Source organism: Homo sapiens, chromosome 2 (assembly GCF_000001405.40).
Source record: "Homo sapiens chromosome 2, GRCh38.p14 Primary Assembly".
Lineage (NCBI taxonomy): Eukaryota > Metazoa > Chordata > Mammalia > Primates > Hominidae > Homo > Homo sapiens.
The window spans coordinates 11,099,620-11,120,719 of record NC_000002.12 but is presented as its reverse complement, the minus strand read 5'-3'; the positions used below and the strand labels follow the sequence as shown (position 1 = coordinate 11,120,719).

General features: G+C 48.6%; 1 long non-coding RNA gene and 1 pseudogene across 1 annotated transcript in view, besides 4 other annotated features; one reads left to right on the top strand and one right to left on the bottom strand.

Annotated features, from left to right (window-relative positions):
• The window catches only part of FLJ33534 (Putative uncharacterized protein), a 32,326-nt gene extending 11,457 nt beyond the window's left edge, over positions 1–20,869 (top strand). Inside the window, exons 7-9 of the long non-coding RNA NR_040080.1 lie at positions 13,933–14,024; positions 15,058–15,403; positions 20,657–20,869. This is a non-coding gene — a long non-coding RNA (Putative uncharacterized protein FLJ33534). The remainder of the gene's footprint in view (positions 1–13,932; positions 14,025–15,057; positions 15,404–20,656) is intronic.
• Positions 15,274–15,773: an enhancer, noted in NCBI's record as "H3K4me1 hESC enhancer chr2:11245073-11245572 (GRCh37/hg19 assembly coordinates)". NCBI's record gives its function as "activates a minimal SCP1, AML or CMV promoter by ChIP-STARR-seq in naive H9 embryonic stem cells {active_cell/tissue: H9 hESC(naive)}" and the evidence as "EXISTENCE:reporter gene assay evidence [ECO:0000049][PMID:30033119]".
• Positions 16,582–16,731: an enhancer, noted in NCBI's record as "active region_15317". NCBI's record gives its function as "activates an Ori minimal core promoter by ATAC-STARR-seq in GM12878 lymphoblastoid cells {active_cell/tissue: GM12878}" and the evidence as "EXISTENCE:reporter gene assay evidence [ECO:0000049][PMID:35858748]".
• Positions 16,752–16,921: an enhancer, noted in NCBI's record as "active region_15316". NCBI's record gives its function as "activates an Ori minimal core promoter by ATAC-STARR-seq in GM12878 lymphoblastoid cells {active_cell/tissue: GM12878}" and the evidence as "EXISTENCE:reporter gene assay evidence [ECO:0000049][PMID:35858748]".
• Positions 16,932–17,011: an enhancer, noted in NCBI's record as "active region_15315". NCBI's record gives its function as "activates an Ori minimal core promoter by ATAC-STARR-seq in GM12878 lymphoblastoid cells {active_cell/tissue: GM12878}" and the evidence as "EXISTENCE:reporter gene assay evidence [ECO:0000049][PMID:35858748]".
• Positions 17,688–18,597, bottom strand: RPL6P4 (ribosomal protein L6 pseudogene 4; annotated as a pseudogene).
• Positions 20,870–21,100: the final 231 nt, after the last annotated feature.

Below are 21,100 nucleotides of genomic sequence, written 5' to 3'. Positions count from 1 at the left end.
GGTCCTGTCTCTGCTCCCTCAACCCCTAGTTCCTGTCCATTTCTCTTGAGACAGCTTGTCTGTCTCGGGTCCTCTAAACCTACTCTCAGGCCCTCACTTCCTGTCACCTGGGCAGCAGAGCATGTTTTCTTCAATAGCACCCTCCCTAAGAGACTCTTCAAATCATTTATTTGTCATGATGCATGATAGTTAAATGAAATAACAGAGGCAATGAAGCACCTGCTCAGAGGCTGGCACCTGGTGCACTTTTGACAAGTGACACTTTCATCTTGACAGTTGGGAGGAGCTTGCATGGATGAGTGGGGACGTGGGTGTGCTGGGTGGCACCAGGGCACACACAGCTTGACATATGGACACTGTCTGGCAGCAGGTTAGATTAGAGGTGGACGGGGTACGGATGTGTGGACAATTAAACTAGGACTCAGGGACGCTCTGCCCCAGGACTGGGCAGGCAAGAGCTCTGGGAAGTCAGTGGGCAGACAAAGGGTGTGGTTGGGTGGGCAGGGCTTCCTGGGGGAGGTGATGGTGTTGACCTGACCAGGGACCCATGCCCTTTCACCACTTTGTTGTTCTTTTTTTTTTTGAGATGGAGTTTCGCTCTGTTGCCCAGGCTGGAGTGCAATGGCACCATCTTGGCTCACTGCAACCTCTGCCTCCCAGGTTCAAGTGATTCTCCTGCCTCAGCCTTCTGAGTAGCTGGGATTATAGGCAAGTGCCACCACGCCTGGCTAATTTTTGTATTTTTAGTAGAGACAGGGTTTCACCATGTTGGTCAGGCTGGTCTTGAACTCCTGACCTCAAATGATCCTGCCGCCTTGGCCTCCCAAATGTTGGGATTACAGGCATGAGCCACTACGCCCAGCCTCTTTTCTTTTCCTTTTTTTTTGAGACAGGGCCTCAAGCTTTGTCACCCAGGCTGGAGTGCAGTGGTGTGAACATGGCTCACTGCAGCCTCAACCTCTGGGATCAAGTGATCCTCCCACCTCAGCCTCCCGAGTAGCTGGGATTATAGGTGTGCACCACCATGCCCAGTTACTCTTTTTGATTTTTGTAGGGATGAGGCCTCCCTTTGTTCCCCAGGCTATTCTCAAACTCCTGGGTGCAAGTGATCTTCCCACCCTCAGCCTCCCAAAGTGCTGGGATTACAGGTGTAAGCCACCATGCCTGGCCACTGTTTGTTCTTCTTACAGCTCATGGAGAAGACAATTATAATACTTTAGCTCATCCCAATCATCACACCGTGGCTTTAGCAATGTTGGGAATCTGATGTACCCGTGTCCTGCTGTTATAATGATGTCGGTGGTAATAGGTACACATCTTGAGTACCTCTTTAACCACTCGAATGCTTTATTTCATTGACCCCTGACAACAACGAAATGACATGGTACGATGGTTAATTTTATGGATCACCTTGACTGGGCCAAGGGTGCCATATTTGGTGGAGCGTTACCAACTGTGTAATGTGTCTCTGAGGGCATTGCTAAGTGAGGTCTGCATTTGAATGGGTGGGCCGAGCGAGGCAGGTGGCCCTCTCTGATGGGCGTGGGCTGCATCCAGTCAGTTGAAGTCTATGTGGGTCTCTTTTGAAGACCCAGATAGAACAAAAAATCTGGCACGAAAGGGCTCTTCCTGCCTGACTGCTGGAGCTGGGACACTGTTCTTTTCCTGCCTTTGGACTGAGAGGAAAACATCAATTCTTCTTGGGCCTCTTGCCTGCTGGCTTTCAGACTGGCACTTAGTGTTTGGAGATCCGTAGGCTCTGACTCAGACCAGAGCTGTCGGCTTTCCTGGGTTTCTAGCTTGCTGACTGCCCATCTTGGGACTTAGCCTCCATAATTGCATGAACAACTCCTCAGAATAAATCTCTCTCTCTCTGTCCTATTAGTTCTGTTTCTCTGGAGAACCTTGACTAATACAGACAAATAAGTGCTATTGTTTCTCTTTTGCAGATGAAGAAACTGAAGTTCAGAGAGGTCAGATGGTGGGGTGGGAAGTCACCCTCGGACTCAGTCCACACCCAACCTCCTGAGCTCTTGGCCACTGATATGGTTTGGCTGTGTCCCCACCCAAATCTCAACTTGAATTGTGTCTCCCAGAATTCCCACGTGTTGTGGGAGGGACCTAGGGGGAGGTAATTGAATCATGGGGGCCAGTCTTTCCCGTGCTATTCTTGTGATAGTGAATAAGTCTCATGAGATCTAATGGGCTTATCAGGGGTTTCCACTTTTGCTTCTTTCTCATTTCCTCTTGCCGCCGACATGTAAGCAGCGCCTTTCACCTTCTGCCATGATCCTGAGGCCTCCCCAGCCATGTGGAACTGTAAGTCCAATTAACCTCTTTTTCTTCCCAGTCTCGGCTATGTCTTTATCAGCAGCGTGAAAATGGACCAATAGGCCGGGCACGGTGGCTCATGCCTGTAATCCCAGCACTTTGGGAGGCCGAGGCAGGTGGATCACCTGAGGTCAGGAGTTCGAGACCAGCCTGGCCAACATGGTGAAACCCTGTCTCTACTAAAAATACAAACAATTAGCTGGGCATGGTGGCGGACACCTGTAATCCCAGTTACTTGGAAGACTGAGGCAGGAGAATCACTTGAACCCAGAAGGCAGAGGTTGCAGTGAGCTGAGATCACGCCACTGCCCTGTGGCCTGGGCAACAAGAGTGAAACTCCATCTCAAAAACAAACAAACAAAAAACAACGGACGGATACAGCCAGTGTGCCCATGGTCCTACCAGGTCTGGGCTGGTGCAGCCTCTGCAATTTCCTGGGGAGGTGCCTGGGCCCTATTCCTTGACACATGAGGAGCAGATGCCAAGGGCCACAGTGAACGCTGTCACCTCTGAGGACCAGGGTCGGGAGCTGGGGAAGGAGGAAAGGACTCAGGGGCATCCCATCCTTGGTTTTCAGAGCAGCTGAGGCTCTGGGAGGACGGAGAGCTATCTGCGTTCTCATGTCTAGTGGGTGGTGAGGCTGCACAGAGCTCAGACTCTGACTTCAAAGCCTGCTTGGCAGGTGAAGGGACCTATGTATTAACATTGCGCTAAGTGATTTCATGCTACTGTCTCATTTATCTTGTACCCTGTGAAGTGCAGACGATTCTACCCCAGTTTGAAGAAAGGGTCTTGGAGAACTTAGGTGACTTGCCAAAGATCTCCAAGCTGGAAAGTCATGCAGCTTGGAATCAATTTGACAACAAATGATTCTAGGGTTCAGGTTTTTCTTCCACTCTTCACTCTTTCCAAGTGGGAATCCTTCTATTCATTTCTAAACAAGGGAGGCAGGGAAGCCTTGTTAAAAGAAAATATCCAACAGTGATTTTGAGGAGGAAGTAGTATTTGACGCAAATGACAGGGTATACAAGGGTTAGCTTTGGGGCTGCTAAACCAAGATGGGTGGAAAAATATTTTGTTTACTGATGGATTAGTCACCAGTGCCTGCTGATTATATTGCCAATATTAGTCTTGTTTTGATTACTGCAAAGGCCAATAGCTGCCTCCTACAACATGCTGGTTCTACAGATTGGTGGGGAATCTGTAAATGAGGAGGTGTCCTTGGGAGACCCCACAAACCTAGCTTGGCCCTGGTGGTGCCCCTTAAAATGTTGCAGTTACACAGCTGAAGGATGATGTCTGCTCCAGGATTATCAACTCAAATCATGTGTTTGAATTACAAGTCCCTGCTCTTGTTAGAGGGATTAGTGCCTATTTGGAATGAAATATGTTTGGATTTACAAGTCTTGCAGGTTCTCCTGGGATCAAGTGTACTGGAATGGGATGCCTCTTGCATTTTGCATTAGGACTGAAATTCACTTAGTGCCTGTGTCAGTGGAAAGGTGGTAAACTATGATGATTACGAGCAAGCACTTAGGAGTCAGACCTACAAGAGAAAGCTGGCTCTTCCCCTCCCAGCACTCAGGATACTGACAGTGCATTGCTGAGGGCAGTGTCTGCAGGCGGCTATGGAGTGAGCACCTGCTCCTTGTGGGCTCCACTCCTTTATGGCTTTCGCTCACTAAGTTTCAGTCCTGCTCCCTCGGAAGAAGGATAATAACAATAGATAATGATAATAATAGTCACCCCGTAGGGTTATGGCAAACGTGAAACACCTCCAATTGTGTGCAAAGTTCTCTGCAAACTGAATGGCATCTGGTAAGAATAATGCTGGCTAATATGATGATGATGCAGCCCACCAGAAAAAATAGCCCCCAGGAGCATCCCTGTAATCTGCAGCGTTGGGTCTGCTTGGCTTGCCGTAGCAAGGGGGAACACACCTGCTGAGGCTTCCAGGGCCTGGCCTTGTGCTGGGCGAGTCCAAGGAGGAGCGCTGGTCATTCTTGCAGCTACAGCATGGTCCTGCCTGGGTTTCTTGGTTTCTCTGTTCTGTTGGCTTCAGCTGTGTCCCATTGGAAACCTTGTTTATCTCAGTTTGCCTGCAGCATGGCTCATTAGCTTTTTTTCCTTTTTTTTTTTTTTTTTTGAGCCAGGGCCTCACGTCTCACTCTGTTGCCCAAGCTGGAGTGCAGTGGCGCAATGTTGGCTCACTGAAACCTCTACCTCCTGGGTTCCAGCGATTCTCCTGCCTCAGCCTCCCAAGCAGCTGGGACTACAAGCACGCACCACCACACCTTGTTAATTTTTGTATTTTTGGTAGAGACGGGGTTTTACCACGTTGGCCAGGCTGGTCTCAAACTCCTGACCTCAAGTGATCTGCCCACCTTGGCCTCCCAGAGTGCTGGGATTACAGGTGTGAGCCACTGCGCCTGGCCTCAGCATGGCTAATTTTCACTGTCTCAATTATATAGGTCTTAGCTATCAAAGCATTGGATCTCATTTATTATTTAAAAAATTTAAAAAATAATAAACAGAAGTTTGTAAAAAAATTTTGTAAGAAAATTTAATGAGTCCTACCCTTTCAACAAATTTGTGAGTGTACAATCAGTATTGTCAACTGCAGGCGTAATGTTAGACGGCAGATCTCCAGAATTTGTTCATCTTGCATAATGGAAACTTCATATCCATTGAACAGCGATTCCCCATTTTCCTGTTCCTCCAGCCCCTGACAACCACTATTCTGTGCTCTGCTTTTCTGAGTTTGACTTTAGGTATTTAGTGCAAGTGGAATCATTCAGTATTTGTCCTTTTGTGACTGGCTTATTTCACTTAGTATCATGTCTGCCAAGTTCAGTCAGTAGCAAATGGCACGATTTGCTTTTTTGAAAGGCTGAGTAATGTTCCATTGTGTGTATGCACCACAGTTTTTCTAACTATTCTTTTTTGTTGTTGTTGTTGTTTTGTTTGTTTTTTGAGATAGGGTCTTGTTCTCTTGCCCAGGCTGGAGTGCAGTGGCATGAGCTTGGCTCACTGCAACCTCCACCTCACAGGTTCGATCAATTCTCCTGCCTTAGCCTCCCAAGTAGCTGGGATTACAGGCATGTGCCACCATGCCCGGCTAATTTTGTATTCTTAGTAGAGACGGGGTTTCGCCATGTTGGCCAGGCTGGTCTCGAACTCCTGACCTCAGGCCCACCCCAGCCTCCCAAAGTGCTGGGATTATAGGTGTGAGCCACCGCGCTCGGCCCCCATTCATTTGTTGAAGGACATTTGCACAACTTGGCTATGGTGAAAAATGCTACAGTGAGCACGGGAGAGCAATAGCTCTGTGAGATACTGATTTCAACTCTTTTGAATCAACATCCAGAAGTGGAATTGCTGGGTCATATGGTAATTCTATTTATGATTTTTTGAGGAGCCTCCATACTGTTCTCCATAATGGTATTCCCACCAACAGTGTACAGGGCTCTAATGTCTCTGCACCCCTGCTAATACTTCTTATCTTTTATTTATTTTTTTGATAATAGCCCTTCTAGCAGGTGTAAGGCTACACATCTCGTGGTGATTTTTATTTGCATTTCCCTAATGATTAGTGATGTCGAGCATCTTTTCATATATCTGTTGACTATTCGTCTATCTTCTTGGGAGAAATGTCTATTCAAATCCTTTGCTCATTTTTAAATTGGGGTAGTCATTTTTTCTGCTATTAAGTTGTAAGAGCTCCTTATATATTTTGGACATTAATCCCTTATCAGATATATGGTTTGCAAATATTTTCTCCGATTCCATAGGCTGTGTTTTCACCCTATTACTTCCTTTGCTATGCAGAAGCTTTTTGCGTGAGAAAGAATGGAATTAGACCCCTTTCTTATACTATGCACAAAAATCAACTCAAAATCTATTGAAGATTTAAATGTAAGACCGGAAACTGTAAAACTCTTAGAAGAAAACATAGAAGAAAAACTTCATGACATTGGTTTTGGCAATGATTTTTTCAAAATGACCCCAAAAGCACAGGTAATAAAAGCAAAAGTAAACAGGTGGGACAAAAGCCTTGGGTCTCATTTAAGCCAACACAAGATCATCCCAAGGGAAAGGAAATTAAATTTTCTCATAGCCTCATGATTGTGCCTTCCTCTCCCTGTGCTCCAGCTTCTCCAGGCTGCTCCCCCCTCCCACCTTTGAGCATGCTCCAGCCTCTCCAGGCTGCTCCCCTCTCCCACCTTTGGGCCTGCGGGACCCCAGAACTCTGATCTGTCGTGGCTCTGGTCATTCAGGTCCCAGCTCAAACCATTCTTTTTAATGGCTTTCTAATAACCAGGCCTCCATCTAGCTTTCTGGGAGACTTGGTCTCATTCCTCTGTTTTCTTCATAACATTTAAAAGTCTCCAATTATCTTGTTCATTCTCTGTTTCCTGCAGTAGAGTAAAAGGTCATTGGCGCATCTCCAGCTAGAATGGCTCCTGGCATGTGGTAGGTGCTCTGTAAACAGTTGTGGAAGAAAGGAAGGAAGGAAGGAAGGGGAAAGGAAGGAAGGAAGGGGAAAGGAAGGAAGGAAGAAGGAAGGAGGGGAGAAAGGACAGAGGGAGGGAGGGAAGAAGGAAGGAAGAAGGAAAGAAGAAAGGGGAGGAGGAAGGAAGGAAGAAAGGTGGGGAGGAAGGAAGGAGGGAAGGAGGGAAGGAAAGAAGAGAGGGAGGAAGGAAGGAAGGAGGAAGGAGGGAAGGAAGGAAGGAGGGAAGGAAGGAAGGAGGGAAGGAAGGAAGGAGGGAAGGAAGGAGGGAGGGAAGGAAGGAAGGAGGGAGGGAAGGAAGGAGGGAGGGAAGGAAGGAGGGAGGGAAGGAAGGAAGGAGGGAGGGAAGGAAGAAGGAAGAAGGGGAGGGAGGAAGGAAGGAAAGGAGGAAGGAAGGAAGGAAAGAAGGAAGAAAGGAAGGAGGGAGGGAAAGAAGGAAGAAAGGAAGGAGGGAGGGAAAGAAGGAAGAAAGGAAGGAGAGAGGGAAGGAAGGAAGAAAGGAAGGAGGAAGAAAGGAAGGGCGAAGGGAAGGAAGGAAGAAGGAGAGGAAGGAAGAAAGGAAGGAAGGAAAAAGGGAAGGAAAGAAGGAAGAAGGGGAGGAAGGAAAGGAGGGAAGGAAGGAAGAAAGGAGGAAGGGAAGGAAGGAGGGAGGGAGGGAAGGAAGGAAGAAAGGAAGGAAAGGAGGGAGAGAATATCCCCACACATGATCCTTCGCTGTTGATCCTTGCATTCTAGGGAGTTGGAAGGGAGCTAGAAGTCGGGACCAGCATTCCCCTAGCAGCAGCGCTCCCTCCTGCAGCATCCTTGCCGTACTTCCTTCCTTCCTTCCTTGCCATCCATCCATCCTTCCTTGCCGTCCTTCCTTCCTCACTGTCCTTCCTTCCTCGCCGTCCTTCCTTTCTCACCTTCCTTCCTTCCTTCCTCACCATACTTCCTTCTTTCCTTCCTCACCTTCCTTCCTTCCTCACCATACTTCCTTCCTCACCGTACTTCCTTCTTTCCTTCCTCACCTTCCTTCCTTCCTTCCTTGCCATACTTCCTTCCTTCCTCACCGTACTTCCTTCTTTCCTTCCTCACCTTCCTTCCTTCCTTCCTCACTGTACTTTTGCTGCACCGTTTTCATCACTTCATGTCATGCCAGTGCTCTCCCTTTGGAAATACTTTTCTTAGGAACAGACACACCACCATGAGCCTCACTGAGTGGCCTCAACTCTGACCCTTAGAACCACTGAGAACAACACCCCTCACTCATGATAGCTCTCCAAGTAATTGAGGATGTCTCTCAGCACCCTAAGGAGGCAACTTTTCTCCAAGATGAGGCCTCATCTCTTTCAACTTTCCTCCCATGACATGGCTTCTGGATGTCTTGCCTTCAACTGTTTATATCAGGAGCCCTAGGAACACTGAAGAATTTCAAGGATGTCCTTTAGGGTGTCTGTGAAACCCTTGATACTGGTGGTATGTTCCCTGCAGGTGTGCATTTTGGGGGTGGGGAGAGACTCTGTAGGATTCAAAGGACCCTTGACCTCAAGTGGTCCAGAAGCCCTTCTCCCTCTATCCCGTCTTCCGGGAGCCGTGCGCCATCTATCCTGTCTGCCAGGAGCCGTGCGCCATCTATCCTGTCTGCCAGGAGCTGAGCGCCATCTAGCCTGTCTTCCAGGAACCCCGCGCTATCTAGCCTGTCTTCCAGGAGCCCTGCTCCATCTAACTTGTCTTCCTGGAGCCCTGCTCTGTCTAGTCTGTGTTCTAGGCCAGAATCGCTCTACCTAGCCTGTCTTCTAGGAGCCCTGCTGTATTTAGCCTGTTCCCCGGGCCAGGCCTGCTCTCTGCAGCACACAGTGGGTATTTTTCTCCTTCATAATGACCGCCTACTCTAGGTAGCACTTTCTGATTTAATGACTCACTTTCACATTTGGCATCTCACTGAGTGCTCATGATTCTGTTCATTCAGTGTGTCTAATTCTCCTTCTGCGAACAAAGAAACAGTGTCCTGAAAGGGTGTGTTTTCTATATTTTGAGGCTGTTTTTTTTTTTTTTTTTTTGAGAGGGAGTCTGGCTGTGTCACCCAGGCTGGAGTGCAGTGGCGCGATCTCGGCTCACTGCAAGCTCCGCCTCCTGGGTTCATGCCATTCTCCTGTTGAGGCTGTTTTTTGATGTATCAGCTTCATGACTGTTATACCTTCTGCTGTTCCATCATTACACAGTAAGTTTGTTGGCTTATAAAGCACAACTTTTTGTTTTTGTTTTTCCTGTTAATATATTTACATAGCTTTTCTTTTGATAAGTATTCGTGTGCTATATTTTTTCCCATCAGTTTATTTTAAATCTGAATCCTTAGTTTTAGTTGTGTTTCTTGTAAGCAGCATAAGGCTGTTCTAAAAAAAATTCAGCCAGAGAATTTCTGTCATTTAACTAGCAATTGTTTTCATTTACATTTATTATAATTACTGATTCCTTAAATTTTCCCTCAATCTTATGTTGTACTTCCTGTTTACTCTGCTTTTTGAAAATTCAATTTCCTCTTGCTATTATTATTATTATTATTTTGAGATGGAGTCTTGTTCTGTTGCCCAGGCTGGAGTGATTATTATTATTATTATTATTATTATTATTATTATTATTTTGAGATGGAGTCTCGTTCTGTTGCCCAGGCTGGAGTGATTATTATTATTATTTTGAGATGGAGTCTCGTTCTGTTGCCCAGGCTGGAGTGCAGTGGCGCAATCTTGGCTCACTGCAACCTCCACCTCCCACCTCAATCAATTCTCCTGTCTCAGCTTTCTGAGTACCTGGGACTACAAGCACATGCCACTATGCCCGGCTAATTTTTGTATTTTTAGTAGAGATGGGTTTCACCATATTGGTCAGGCTGGTCTCGAACTCCTGACCTCAGGTGATCCACCTGCCTTGACCTCCCAAAGTGCTGGGATTACAGGCGTGAGCCACTGTGCCTGGCTTTTGCTATTATTCTGAAAATTATAAACTGTATTTCTCTTTCTTATCTCTTTGAAAATTGCCAATTTTTTAGTGGTGTTTGAAAATTCAAATGTGTGTACTTAATTTCTGCAATTCTACAATTTTTCTATCCTTCTCCCATTTTGTCTGAAATACAAAAATTTTAGAATGCTTTTACTAGAATCACGTTATCCTATTTTGCATGTTATTTTTGACCAATATTTTAGTTTCACCTTGTTTTTATTTCACCTTAAATTAGTTATGTGTTTTTTCTAGTCAGTGGTTTTTTTTTTTTAACTTTATTGGTATATTTTTTACCCCTTTCTTTGCTCATCTCAGGCCTTCCTTCTGCGTTCAATTTTCTTCTTTTTGAAGCACTTTCTTAATAAACTTTTTAATTGAAGATCTCTTAATAAATTCATTTAGTTTCTTTTTGCCTGTAAATATCTTTATTTTCCCATCATTCCTGAATGATAATTTCAGTAGACAGGCAGTCAGTCCCACTTTGACAATAATTTTGACTTACTGCTTTGAAAGCAATATTCCTTTGTATTCTGGTTTCCGATACCCCCATGAGAAGTCAAGCTGTCTGCCTGCTACGCAGTGTTCTGAAGCGGTCTGCCCTTTCTGGTGGATTTTCAGTGTGTGCCTTTGTCTTTGGTCTATTGTAGTTTCATTGTGGTGTGTTCAGGTGTGGGATCATGCTTTAGGTTGAGTTCCTGAGTCTGAGGATCAGCCCTTGGCATATGGGCCTTTCTTCACTTCCTCTGTTTGTTTCCTTCCCAGACCATCAGATGTATGCATGTTGGTCCTTCACCTTTTCTTTGTTTCTCTTTTTTTTTTTTTTGAGACAGAGTCTCACTCTGTTGCCAGGCTGGAGTGCAGTGGTGTGATCTCAGCTCACTGCAACCTCTGCCTCCTGGGTTCAAGCGATTCTCCTGCCTCAGCCTCCCAAGTAGCTGGGATTACAGGTGCACACCACTAAGCCCAGCAAATTTTTGTATTGTTAGTAGAGACGGGGTTTCACCATGTTGGCCAGGCTGGTCTTGATCTCTTGACCTCGTGATCCACCCGTCCTGGCCTTCCAAAGTGCAGGGATTACAGGCGTGAGCCACCGCGCCCGGCCTCTTTGTTTCTCTTAACTTGCTTTCATATTTGTTCCAAGTCTTTGTCTCTCCATGACTCATCCTGGGCATTCTTTAGCTAGATCGTTCAGTTTAGTAATTTATTTCCTCACATCTATCGATCTAACTTGTGCTTTAACTTTAAAGTCTTGAATTTTAATTTTTAAGTGTGTGTATTTATTTTTTCTTTAGAGACAGGGTCTCACTATGTCACCCAGGGTGGAGTGCAGTGGCTATTCACAGGTGCCATTATAGAACACTCCAGCCTCAAACTTCTGGGCTCAAGCAATGCTCCCGCCTCAGCCTCCTAAGTAGCTGGGACTAAGGCACGTGCCACTGTGCCCAACTTACATTTTTTATTTCTAAACATTTTAATTGTTTTCTCCTCTCTTATTTACTTTGTCTTTTTCTTCTGTATCTTGTCTGCATTTTTGAGAATGTCTTTAAACATTTTAAGCATTCTTATTTGTATTCTGTACCTCAAGATTCCATTGCCTGGAAGCCCTATGACTGATTCCAGGTAACTTGTGCTCATGACGGGTTCCTCTGCGGACTGTGGGCCAGACTTCCTGGGTTTGAATCTCAACTCTTCTTCTTTGCTGTGTGTTCTTGAGTAAGTTACTTATCCTCTCTGTGCCTTCATTCTCTCCAATTCCTAATCCAGGAATATGAATGACATTAATAAATAATAATGAGAATAAAACTACCTACCATTAGAAGAATGTGTGAAGATTAGGTGGGACAATACAGGTCAAAGATTTATTTATTTTATTTTTATTTTTTTTGAGACAGAGTTTTGCTCTGTTGCCCAGGCTGGAGTGCGATGGCACCATCTTGGCTCACTGCAACCTCTACCTTCCAGGTTCAAGTGATTCTCCTGCCTCAGCCTCCCAAGTAGCTGGGATTCCAGGCACCTGCCACCACACCTGGCTAATTTTTGTATTTTTAGTAGAGATGGGGTTTCACCATGTTGGCCAGGCTGCTCTTGAACTCCTGACCTCAGGTGATCTGTCCTCCTCAGCCTCCCAAAGTGCTGAAATTACAGGTGTGAGCCACTGTGTCTGGCCCAGGTCAAAGATTTAAAACTGTGCCTGGCACGAGTTAAGTCTTCAATAAAGGTTAATCTTTTTTTTTTTTTTTTTTTAATTGAGACAGAGTTTCGGTCTGTTGCCCAGGCTGGAGTTCAGTGGCGCAATCTTGGCTCACTGCAACCTCTGTCTCTCAGATTCAAGTGATTCTCCTGCCTTAGCCTCCTGAGTAGCTGTGGCTACAGACACATGTGGCACCACGCCCGGCTAATTTTTATATTTTTAGTAGAGGCAGGGTTTTACCATGTTGGCTAGGCTGGTCTCGAACTCCTGACCTCAAGTGATCTGTCTGCCTCAGCTCCCCAAAGTGCTGGGATTACAGGTGTGAGCTACCGCGCCTGGCCAATAAAGGTTAATTTTATAGTACACAGCTGGGCTTTATCTTGGAAATCCTACACACCTTGGTTTGAGGACGTGTTTCTCCAGAGAGATTTTACATTTGTTTCTGTCAAGCATCTGGGGGACTATCAACCTAAGACCACTCTTAGCTAATTTCTTGACTTTGGTTTCCCAGACCAAATGGTATCAATTCAAACCCAAACCCAATGAGGCCAGGTATGGATTCTCAGGGGATGCTCTATCCCACTCAGAGCCCAGGAGTTGAGACACATGTTTCCTTGTCATTTCTTTTTATTAATTTCTGTTTTACCTCATTCTATCACTGAGGGTATGGCCTCCAAGGGTCCTGCATTTCCAGGGAGTCTCACTTCCAAGTCCCTGCCTCGTGCAGGCCCCGGGTTTGGTGTCCAGTGCCCGGATGGCTGTGGAAACCGAGGCTCTCTGTTCCTGAGCTTGGCAAATATCCCCAAGGGCAGCAGCTGAATCCGCAGCTTCTTCTTTGCTTCTGTCCACTGGGGCTCTCTTACTGATGTGTGCCCCGCCATGTATTTAACAGGATATTCGGGATAAATTTTCCAGGATTTCTAGGTGTTTTCTGGCCACAGGATTTTCAGATTTTGTAGATTTTCCTCTTGCTGGAAATAAAAATGCCCAGAGAGGTTTTATAACTGACTCAAGCCCATGCATCTTGGACAGAACAAGAGCCCAGTCCCCTTCAATTACACCGTGCCGAAATGACATGTTAGCTAGCCTGTGGGTAAGAGTACGCTTTCCATTAGGCCTTTTGAGATGCCGTGTTTAGCTGGCAGACCCCAGCAGCACCTTCATGGACCTGTAGACACCTGGGGGATTGAGGCTGGGGAGTGTGGTGTGGAGACTTCAGGGGACCTCAGCCTTACACTGAAGCCTTCTGTTACCATCTGACATTGCCTAGCTCTAGGCTCCTCCCCCCCTTTCTCCTCCTCCTTCTTTTTCTTCTGTTTTTACAAAGAGTTGTGGAAAGATGTACATTTTTTTTTCTACAATAAAGACGAGAACATGGAGCCCATAACATTTTCCAGGGCTGTTGATCTAACGACCTCGTCAAAGTGAAAGGCGATCGGTCCTCAGTGACCACGTGCTGGTTCCCAGCAATTAGTTTTCTTCCCCACCTCCTTAATCATTTCAAAATTACTTAAGGCCAGGTGCGGTGGCTCAGGCCTGTAATCCCAGCACTTTGGGAGGCCAAGGCGGGTGGATCACTTGTTCAGGGATTTGAGACCAGCCTGACCAACATGGTAAAACCCCGTCTCTAAAAATACAAAAATTAGCTGGGCGCAGTGGTGTATGCCTGTAGTCCCAGCCACTTGGAAGGCTGAGGCAGGAGAATCGCTTGAACCCAGGAAGCGGAGGTTGCAGTGAGCAGAGATTGTGCCACTGCACTCCAGTCTGGGTGACAGAGTGAGACTTCATCTCAAAAAAAAAAAAAATTACTGCATACTGGAATTTTGCTCAAAATTGGTCAGGCTTGCTGGTTTGTTTCTATTTTTCATTTATTTATTTTTTTGAGATGGGGTCTCACTCTGTCACCCCATCTCAATCATAGCTCACTGCTGCCTTGACCTCCTGGGCTCAAGTGATCCTCCCACCTCAGCCTCCTGGGTAGCTACAACTGCATATGTGCATCATCACGCCTGGGTAATTACTATTATGTTTTAATTTTTTGTAGAGATGGAGGGCGGGGGGAGTCTCACTATGTTGTCCAGGCTGGTCTCAAACTCCTGGACTCAAGCAATCCTCCTGCCTCAGCCTCACAAAGTGCTGAGACTATGGGCATGAGCCACTGCACCAGGCCTAGTTGGTTTTTAGAATTCACCTTTCCTCTGTTTTTGAAAACTGAGCTGGCATTTCCTGTCTTCAGACTACTGGCCTCTTTTCTTTCTTTTTTTTTAAAACAGAGTCTCACTCTGTCCCCCAGGCTGGAGTGCAGTGGTGCGATCTTGGCTCACTGCAACCTCTACCTCCCAGGTTCAAGCAATTCTCATGCCTCAGCCTCTCGAGTAGCTGAAATTACAGGGGCCCACCACACCTGGCTAATTTTTGTATTTTTAGTAGAGACAGGGTTTCACCATGTTGGCCAGGCTGGTCTCAAACTCCTGACCTCAAGTGATCTGCCCTCCTCGGCCTCCCAAAGTGCTGGGATTACAGGTGTGAGCCACCACGCCCAGCCTCTCTTTTCAGTTGTCTTGATTTCTTAGGTGTTTTTGCATTTGACCTGTGCCGAGGCTCTCACGTTCTTTCACTTTCCCTGGTTAGAAATTTTCTAGTTCTCAAAGTGTAAACCTAACTAAATTGACCCAAAGGTTTTTACCCTCCCTCTCTTATCTGAAGATTGGAAATCCTGTGATGTGAGGAATATGGTCACAGAATTCATAAATTAAAGTTGAAGTAACTTTGGCAGACCAGTCAGATGAGCTGGTGAAGACCCAGGACTGATCTGATCAAAAAAATCAGCCCCCCATGTGGAATGAATAGGGTTCAGGTGAAACCTCCAGACCAGAAAAGGGGAGAGGGAGGGTCCTAACTCCCAGGCCGTGTGCTAAACACGGTACAGATCCACAGCCACCAAAAGTATCAGGCATTGTATTGTGGCCCGAGTAGTACTGGGGATAGCTGCCTCCAACTAGTTTAGTAACCTATGGAGCTCAATAGTTGTTCATTTCACAATCAGGTGCCTGCCTCCCTGCTGCGCCTGGCCACGTGGAAACCCCTGTAGCTCCCTGGCTGTGCAGGAGCAGCCACAGTGTGCCCCTCCCAGGACCACCATCCCCCTCACTGTCTCTGAGGCACCTGCGTGGACCGGGTCTGGATTGAGTCTCATTTCTCTGGATTCCCACGGCAGCCGGCGGCTGCCTCTCCCACACCCGTCACTCTGTGTCATGGAAAGCTGTGTGTTTGTCTTCATTCCCACCGAGTCTGAGCCACTCGAGGTCAGGGCCATGACCGTGAGCTACACGTCCTTGGCGCCCAGTGTGAGCCGTGTACAGTAGAGGCTGACTGACGTCTTGGAGGCAGAAGTGAGTACATAACTGACAATTGCTTAAAGTCGGCCGGGCCAAGGTTTACAGACCGGGAGGATCATCAGACGCGGGTGGGGCACAGTGGGGTGGGGGGAGGTTCCCAAGGCTGCTCATCAATGGAGTCTGGAGATGGCTGCCTAGGGGTAGCCTCTGAAACGTTCTGGAACAACCTCGTCCTGTCACAGCGTGGCTATGAGGGGACCCTCACCTGGAGGCCTTGGGTGATGTGTTAGTTTCACAGCCACACATCAGCATGGGCCTGTGTCCCCCAGGCCACACGTCGGCATGGGCCTGTGTCCCCCAACCCACGTGTCAGCATGGGCCTGTGTCCCCCAACCCACGCTTCAGCATGGGGCATGTCCCCCAGGCCATGCGTCGGCATGGGCCATGTCCCCCAACCCACGCGTCAGCATGGGCCCCGTGTCCCCCAACCCATGCTTCAGCATGGGGCATGTCCCCCAGGCCACGCGTCAGCATGGGCCATGTCCCCACATAGGTGAGTCCCTGATGCAGGTTGGGTCCCCGGGGAAGCTCACTCAGAGACAGAAGAGTGTTTATTGGTGGCGGGGCAGTGCTCTTGGGTTTAGGGTCTGTGAAGGGAGAGAAGGAAAGCCAGTGGGGTAGAGGGAGTCGTCGGGCAGTGATGCCCTAACCGCTGGTCCCTGGGGAAGCTCTGGAGCTGGCACACCCCTTCAGGGTTGTCCCGAGTGGAGCCTGGGGCCAGGCCTTTATCCACAGTGTGGGCCGCCACCAGGTGCAGGTGCCCAGGAGGGGCGTGTTATGGGTTGAATTGTGTCCCTCCAAAAAGATACATTCAAGTCCCAAGCCCCGCTACGTGTGAATGTGACAAATCCACTGTAGAAACCAGCATTCAGATCTCAGGTCTGCACAGCTGAAATCAGCATTCAGATCTCAGCTCTGCACAGCCGAAACCAGCATTCAGATCTCAGGTCTGCACAGCCGAAACCAGCATTCAGATCTCATCTCTGCACAGCTGAAACTAGCATTCAGATCTCATCTCTGCACAGCCGAAACCAGCATTCAGGTCTCAGGTCTGCACAGCCGAAACCAGCATTCAGATATCATCTCTGCACAGCCGAAACCAGCATTCAGATCTCATCTCTGCACAGCCGAAACCAGCATTCAGATCTCAGGTCTGCACAACCAAAACCAGCGTTCAGATGTCAGCTCTGCACAACCACAACCAGCATTCAGATGTCAGCTCTGCACAACCACAACCAGCATTCAGATCTCAATTCTGCACAACTGTGATCACTATTGAGAGCAGTGACTGTTACATGGATTTAGAGACACGTTGTGGGGGTTATACGACCACGTATTACTGTGCAAAAAGACGTCACTCAAGCCCATTAGTGCAGAGGTTCCTTTAACTGTGGAGGATTAAATCAAGGAATCAGAGATTGTTTACGCCGGAAGGGACTTTGAGGTGTTCACTTAATTGGAAAGCAGGTCATCGTGGGCCCTCCATGGGTGTTGGTATCCACTGAAACTCCAAATCCCATCCAGGGGAGGCTGACACAGGCACCAGGTGTAAGGCCCCACCCCAGCCGGGCTCACCTCTGCGGGCAAGCCTGGGGCCTGGCCGGGAAGCCCAGCATGGTGCGTGTGAATGCTGTGGTGGGGGGGCGCCCCAAACTCCCCCTCCAAGACAGAGGCACAGGCATCGCCTCCCAGGACTCACCTGGAGGGGGCTGCCTGGCGTAAGCTCATGCTCCTCCCGTGCCACCTGCTTTAGTGGCTGATTGCTATGCCAGGTAACGTCAGGGCCACCTGCCTGATTCAGGCTGCTGTGCAGCCGCGCAGACTCAGAGCTGCCTGTGAGCCTGGCTGAGGCCTTTACTGCTCATTCCCACTGCCCTCACCCCTGGCGGGGGCTGGTCTCCAGGGCACCCCCATAATCCACTTGCACCCAGATCTCCGTCTCCAAGTGCGCTCCAAACCCAGCCCCAGCGTGTGGACAATGGCATCCTTCTTGCACATGCTGGGGTAATTGATGGCTGTATCTGCTCTGAGACGGCAGAGTGGGCTAGCTCCCAGCCCCAACAAACGGCCCTCTGCGCCCTCCACACACACTCAGCATAGGCTCAGCAGCCTGGGGAAGAAGAAAGCCGCTCTGCTCCGTGCTCTGGGTGCCCAGCCCTGTGAACAGCACGGGGTGTCCCCACGGCTCACTGTGCCTCCTCCTGGCCCATGTCCACTCCGGCATGCTGTTCACAGACACGGCCCAGGCCTCTGTCCCCACAGCTTTATTATTTTTTAAATGTTATCAGTTATTTAATTAGGTTCTTAAGAAATTTAGAACACCAATTTGTGAGGATAAATTCCATTCCTCAGAACAAACACAGATCTCAGGTAGCCCTGGAGCTAAGGAATAACTTTGATTTTTGGTAAAATCTGTGAGTCCACAGCTTTCTGATCAATCTTGCGCTGCCCTGTGATCTCGTATTTCTCTTTTTCTGTGTCGAAGATCTCACCTTCCTGGTGTCTGGGCTTCCGCAGCTGCTGCTTCTTGAAGCAAGCATCAGTGAGATGTTTTGGGATTTTTACATTGCTGATGTCAGTTTTGGTTGAGGTGGCAATGACAAATGTCTGGTGTGTTCTTCATAGAGGAACTCGATTGAGGACCAGAGGTCCAGTCCTAAATACCAAGCCGCTAGCCAGCTGCTTCAAGAAAACCACCCTCTTGCCTCTGTGGCATCCAGTGAAGATGATTAGAATGGCTTCGGGGGTAATGCTGGCTCACAGTTTTCTCACGTGCTGACTGAAAGTTTTTTTGCCGTGGCTCAACAGCTTTCGAGGCGCATCTCCGGTAGGGTAATATCTAGGCATTTTGTTAACCACCCAGGACCACCGTTCTTGTCACCACCAACTGGTTTGTAACAGTTGCAAGAACCTTCTCCTTTTTCTTTTCAACCTTGGACTTCGCAGCTAAGTACTTCCTCTTCCACGTGGCCTTTCTGGAATACATGGCAGGTTGGGAATACCTGCCAACTCCTCTGACAAGGACGGGATTGAGGCTGCAATGGGGCTTCCCCTTCTTGAGTTTTTCAGTCTTGAGGTGATGCCTTTTCACCTTGCCACCAGCATCAGCCTTCTTTGCTTCAGGTTTCTTCTCTTTAGTATCCGGCTTCTCAACTTTTTCACCTGCCATCTTGCAAGATGGGAAAGAGCTTTCCTACAGCTTTGCTTCCAAGGCAGGAGCTGAGCTTTCTTCTCTGCAAAGGGCCTTATAGAGAATGTTCTCTGGTCTTCTTTTCTTCCTTCTGCAAACTCTTCTCCAAGGGGCCAGATGCTGGAGATGATGGGACTGTCTTTTAATCTAGGGAGGGGTTATCATTAGCCTGTGGTGCTAATTACATGAATTCTTAAAGCCCACATGAGCACACTGCACCCAAGGTGCAAAGAGAATGCAGCCCCTTTGTTTCTACTGGCTAGCATTGTCTCTTGGGGATGCCACAGTCTCTTGACGGACACGTGGTCAGCACTGCAGACCTCCCTTCTTCCCCTCAGCCCCTGATCCTCTCTGAGTGGGGGTGGTACATGTGGTGGGGGAAGGAGAGCACCTGGTCTCTAGGCAGGTGGCTGTTCTGCCCTTGGGTGGGCCCTGGCTGCTGGAGGCTTAGGTGGTGGGTCTGTCTTGTCCTGCCCCTGGGCAGCCTGGTGGGCTGTTGCAGAAGCCTGTGGCTGCTATCATCTGTGGTCTGGGGAGCTCAGCCCTCCACCCTGGCTGATGATGTCCTGGCTGCTCTGGAGGTGCCCTGACGTCTGGTTGGAACTTCCATTTGATTCTTGGCTCAAACAGTCCCATTGACTGATTGCGCCCTTGGCTTCAGAGTCCCTTTACCCCCATGAAAATGACTTTCTCTGACAGGTCCCCATGCCTCAGCTAATAGGTACCTAGGGGTTCCTGCCATAACACATGGAGCTGGGCAGACCCTGAGTGTCACCTTGGGCTCTTTTTGAGTCTCTGTATTTACCCAGCTGCCCTGGCCTGGGTGGAAGTTGGGAGTCCCAGAGCCACTGGGGTGGGGCCCGCAGGCCGGGTGTTCTTGGAGTCCCCATGGGAATCAGGTCGAGGCAGGGCCCTGCTTTGACCTCTCCCCATGCTGCTTTATGACCCTCCTGGCTTGGAGAGCGTGGGCTCAGGGGGAGAGGGGACACCAAAGGTTGCTGCCTGTGCCACCTGCCTCTACCCCACACTTCCTCAGCACCACCTGGCGGGAAGGCTCCGAAGTCCTGTTTCCCCCAGGTGGCTGAGATATTCTCCACTCCACATCTTTCTCCTTTCAGGAGCAGGATCTTCCCCAACCCTGCCTTGAGGCCCAGATGACAGTCAGGGATCAGGTTTAGGGAACCATTAACACCCAGTGTGACGATTTCAGATCCTGCTCCCATGACCTCCACATCCCCTAGACTGGAAGCTTCCTGAGGACAGGGCCCTGCTGTCCTTTCTGTTACTGTACCCCCAGCACAGGCTGGCACCAAATGAAAACACAGACTTACACATTCTCCTAGAAAACTCCAGACAGCCCAGTAAGGCCTCTCTGGACCTCATCGGAGATGTGGGAAACACTCTTTGAGAAACACTGCTCCAGACTTTCCTGTGAGTCCCCGAATGATACTGATTTCACCTGCTGCTGTTATTTAGATGACTGCAATACACTAGATGATTTGGTTGTAAAACTTGGCACTCTCAAATAGAGGTCAAGTTCAGGAGTCAATCCAGAAATGCTCTTCACAGTGTGCAGTGTCACTGGTTGTAGCACACTGAAGTCACGACCAATAGAAGGCAGGCTTTGGGAGAACCCTGCGTGTGTCTGAAGTTAATGCATTAAGAGGAAAGCAAATGGCTGACCGGCTGTTCTGCTTTGGTTCCCATGCCCACCTGTATTTCTAGAGGGTGGGGTTGTCAGGCCCAGGGCCTGCGGGCCTTGAGGTCACTCTGTTCCTCAGTGCAGGGGCTGCTCTCCCCACAGGGCAGCAGCAAACAAGGAGAAACAGAGACACCCCCCCCTGCCACCATGTGCTTTACACGCATCACCTCACTAAGTTTTCCCAACCAGCTATGGGCAATAAATGTTATTGCATCCCATTGAACAGGTAGGCAAACCGAGGCTCTGGGAAATTTAGTGATTTTGTTTAGATCATGCAGCCATACAGTTTAGGGGATGTGGAGGTCATGGGAGCAGGATCTGAAATCATCACACTGGGTGTTAATTGTTCCTTAAATCCTGATCCCTGACTGCCATCTGGACTTGGAGGCAGGGTTAGGGAAGATCCTGCTCCTGGAAGGAGAAAGATGTGGAGTGGAGAAAATCTCAGCCACCAGGAAGACAAATGGGAGGACGGAGCCTTCCCGCCAGGCAGGTGGTGAGGAAGAGTGGGGTAGAGCCAGGCGGCACAGGCAGCAGCCCTTGATGTGCCAAGGCTGGAGCGTGAACTGGCTCTTGCAAGAAGAGGTCCTTTGAGGACCCTGCGGCTCCAGGACTTTCTGCAGAAGTGGGTGCTCCTCCCCAGGAAAGGAAAGGCGCATGATTTTGAGCAGCACTGGGCTTTTCCAGCGCCAAGAGAATTTCTCCTGAGTTTCAGACAAGAGCCTTTCCAGATTCTTCCTTGAAGCCCTACTGGGGAGAAGTGTGCCACTGAGCTGATGGGGGGATGCGACTTGGGGGA